The sequence below is a fragment of the Homo sapiens genome, chromosome 20, assembly GCF_000001405.40.
Source record: "Homo sapiens chromosome 20, GRCh38.p14 Primary Assembly".
Classification (NCBI taxonomy): domain Eukaryota; kingdom Metazoa; phylum Chordata; class Mammalia; order Primates; family Hominidae; genus Homo; species Homo sapiens.
Window position 1 is genome coordinate 12,344,429 of NC_000020.11, and position 3,445 is coordinate 12,347,873.

The 3,445-nt window shown below is 39.8% G+C and overlaps 1 annotated feature.

The window, feature by feature from the left end:
* Window positions 1,155-1,656: an enhancer, noted in NCBI's record as "NANOG hESC enhancer chr20:12326231-12326732 (GRCh37/hg19 assembly coordinates)". NCBI's record gives its function as "activates a minimal SCP1, AML or CMV promoter by ChIP-STARR-seq in primed H9 embryonic stem cells {active_cell/tissue: H9 hESC(primed)}" and the evidence as "EXISTENCE:reporter gene assay evidence [ECO:0000049][PMID:30033119]".

The following is a 3,445-nucleotide window of genomic DNA, read 5'->3' on the forward strand; positions in this document are numbered from 1 at the left end:
TGGGATGAGTTGCACTGGACACAGAGACTAGGAAGGGACTCATGTGTAAAAGAATGCCTGGACGTCAGGCACCTCAGACCGTTTGCCTATTTTACGACAAGAATTATTTAGATCTTGCAGGATGGAAAAATTCAAAGTGCCATTTTCTGGCTATTTGGAACTACTGTCGAGTTTGTATTGGGGTCAAGCAGCATTGCAGAAGAAAATAAGGCATTTAGGTTTTAGGTCAGGTGTGAGTTGAAGAGGTTTTAAGTTTTTGAGAACACAGGCCAAGGGAGTAGAAGGAGGAATGGAGGGTGGAAGGTTGCCTATAGTGAAGGAAGCAAGCCTAGAGAAAAGAGAGAGTATAGAAACGGAGGGAAGGGGTTCGGGGGTTCTTACCTTCCAGAAAAGTGGGAAAAGGGGTTGGGGTGCAGAGATAAGAGGTCGGGGGGCAGAAATAAGGGATGGGGCACAGAAGTAAGGGGTCGGGGCATGGAAATAAGGGATTGGGGCACAGAGATATGAGGTTCGGGTGTGGAAATAAGGGATTGGGGGTTCTTGCCCCCTAGAAAAGCAGGACTTGCCACTAAGGGTGAAGGAGAAGGGGTTGAGGGGTACTTGCCACTCCCCCAGAAAAGTGGGACTTGCCGCTAAGGGTGAAGGACCAAGGCAGGCGTCCCTGCGTGGTCTGACACCTTTGAAATGTGGGTGAATTATCAGAGAGGCATCCCTGCAATGATTAAACACCAAGGGAAGGCTGCCTTCCCAGTCCGTAACTGGCACCGGAGTTTTGGGTCCACGGACAAAACGTGTCTCCTTTGTCTCTACCAGAAAATGAAAGGAATTGAAATTAAGGGAGAGATTGAAGTGTGGCGCCAAGATTGAAAGGAGAAAGAGGTTGAGGGATAGTGAGGGAGGTTGGAGAAGAGAGTAAAAAGAGGCCGCTTACCGGATTTGAAATTGGTGAGATGTTTCTTGGGCTGGTCAGTCTCAGGACCTGAGGTCGTAGGTGGATCTTTCTCACGGAGCAAAGAGCAGGAGGATGGGGGATTGATCTCCCAAGGGAGGTCCCCTGATCCGAGTCACGGCACCAAATTTCATACACGTCCGTGTGAAGAGACCACCAAACAGGCTTTGTGTGAGCAACATGGCTGTTTATTTCACCTGGGTGCAGGCGGGCTGAGTCCAAAAAGAGAGTCAGCAAAGGGAGATAGGGGTGGGGCCATTTTATAGGATTTGGGAAGGTAATGGAAAATTACAGTCAAAGGGGGTTGTTCTCTGGTGGGCAGGGGCGGGGGTCACAAGGTGCTCAGTTGGGGAGCTTCTGAGCCAGGAGAAGGAAATTCGCAGGGTTAATCACTCAGTTAAGGTGGGGCAGGAACAAATCACCATGGTGGAATGTCATCAGTTGAGGCGGGGCAGGGCCTTTTCACTTCTTTTGTGATTCTTCAGTTACATCAGGCCATCTGGGCGTATACGTGCAAGTCACAGGGGATGCGATGGCTTGGCTTGGGCTCAGAGGCCTGACACTTACCTCAGCATCCCATGTGGCTGGGACTATAGGCGTGTGCCACCATGCCTTGCTATTTTTTTTTATGTTTTATAGCGATGGGGTCTTGCTATGTTGCCCATACTGGTCTCGAACTCCTGGCCTCAAGTGATCCTCCCTCCTCAGTCTCTCAAAGTGCTGAGATTACAGGCATGAGCCACTGTGCCCAGCAGCTATGAGTTTTTATTGTGAATATTGAGTTTTATTAAATGCTGTGTCAGCATCTTTAGAGATGATCTAGTCTTTATTCTTTGTGGTGAATCACATTGAGCTTTGAATTTATACCACTCATGAATTCTTAGAGCCACCTCTACTTTGTCAGGCTGTCCCTTTATTCTACTACTGTAATTTCAGGGCTTTGATTATTATTTTGCTTTGGTTTGCATCAATGTTCCTGAGAAAAATGGACCTATAATTTTCTTCTCTTTTAACGTCCTCATTAGGTGTTAGTATCAAGATTATACTGGCTGTATAAAAAGAGGCCCAGTGAGTTTTCTCTTTTTCTATTATCTCGAATAACTTTTGTAAGATCGGTCTTATTTTTTTCTTAAACATTTGGTAGAAATCACAAGTGAAGCAATTTGAAGTCTAAAGTTTTTCATTTTTTGATTTGTTTGTGTGTATATGTGAAAAGATTCTTTCATGGATAACTTTTAGATAACTATCATAATCATTAAATTTTCTATTTTTTTCTTGTATCAGATTTGGTAAGATTTATTTTTTCAGGAGTTTATCAATTGTTTCTTTTTTTTTCCAGAAAGTTTTTCATAATATTCTCCTAATGTTCATTTGCATTTACTGACCATGGTTTTCATCCTGCATGTTGGTGCTTTATGCCTCTTTGTTTCTTGATGTGTCTTGCCAGAGGTTTAAGTAATTTCATCAGCTTTTCCAAAAAAGCAACTTTTGGCTGTGTTCATCTTCTGGATCTTATATTTACTTTTCATTTCATTAATTTTGTCCCCAATCTTTATTATCATCTTCCATTTTTTTTACTTAATTTGCTATTATTTTCTAACTGATGGAGATGAATACCTGATCATTAATTTTCAGTTTTTTCTTCTCTTCTGTGGACATGTGGCTATCAAGTTCCCTGTAATCATCGACTGAGTTATATTCCATACATTTTGATTTTTCTCATTTTCATTATTATTCATTTCAAACTACTTCCTGTTTTCATTTACCCATGGGTAATTTAAAAGTATAGAAATTTTCACACACACACAAATTTTCTTTTCTTGTCTTTTTTTTTTTTTGGTTATTGATTTTGAGCTGAATTCTACTCTGACTAAAAAACATACTCAATGCTGTGAATTTCACAGGATTGTAAAATTTCAATCCTGTGAATTAAATTTGTTTAGACTTGTCAAGCATATCATCAACTTTGGTAAATGTTTTTTATACATTTAAAAATAATATTAAGGTGATGTTAGATACAATATTGTAAAAATGCCAATTAGGTCAAATTTATTATTCATATCATTTACTTTTGCTATAGACTTCCTAAATTTGTCCACTTATTTAATTATATACTACAGAATTGTAATAAAATCTTCTGCAAGTAGTGTGTATTAGTCTATTTTTTTCATTTACTTCTATTATATTGAGTTTTATACATTTTGAAGCTGTATTATTAGGTACCATGTTACCTCTCATTCGTTACAAAGTTTTGTGAATATGATGCTTTGACTTTTTCAGAGAATATAATTCATAAATCAGTGCAACCAGAAACTGCAACATGTCACATTGTAATGAATGTTTACAAGTAAATAGAGAAGCCAAAGTCAGCCTAGCTGAACCTCAGTCTCCCACTTTTTCCTCACAAGCTAAATGAACATCTGATCCACTCTTCTGCACCAAGATCTCGACCAAAACAAAACTTCAGCTTCAATCAGTATTTTAATTGAGGAATTA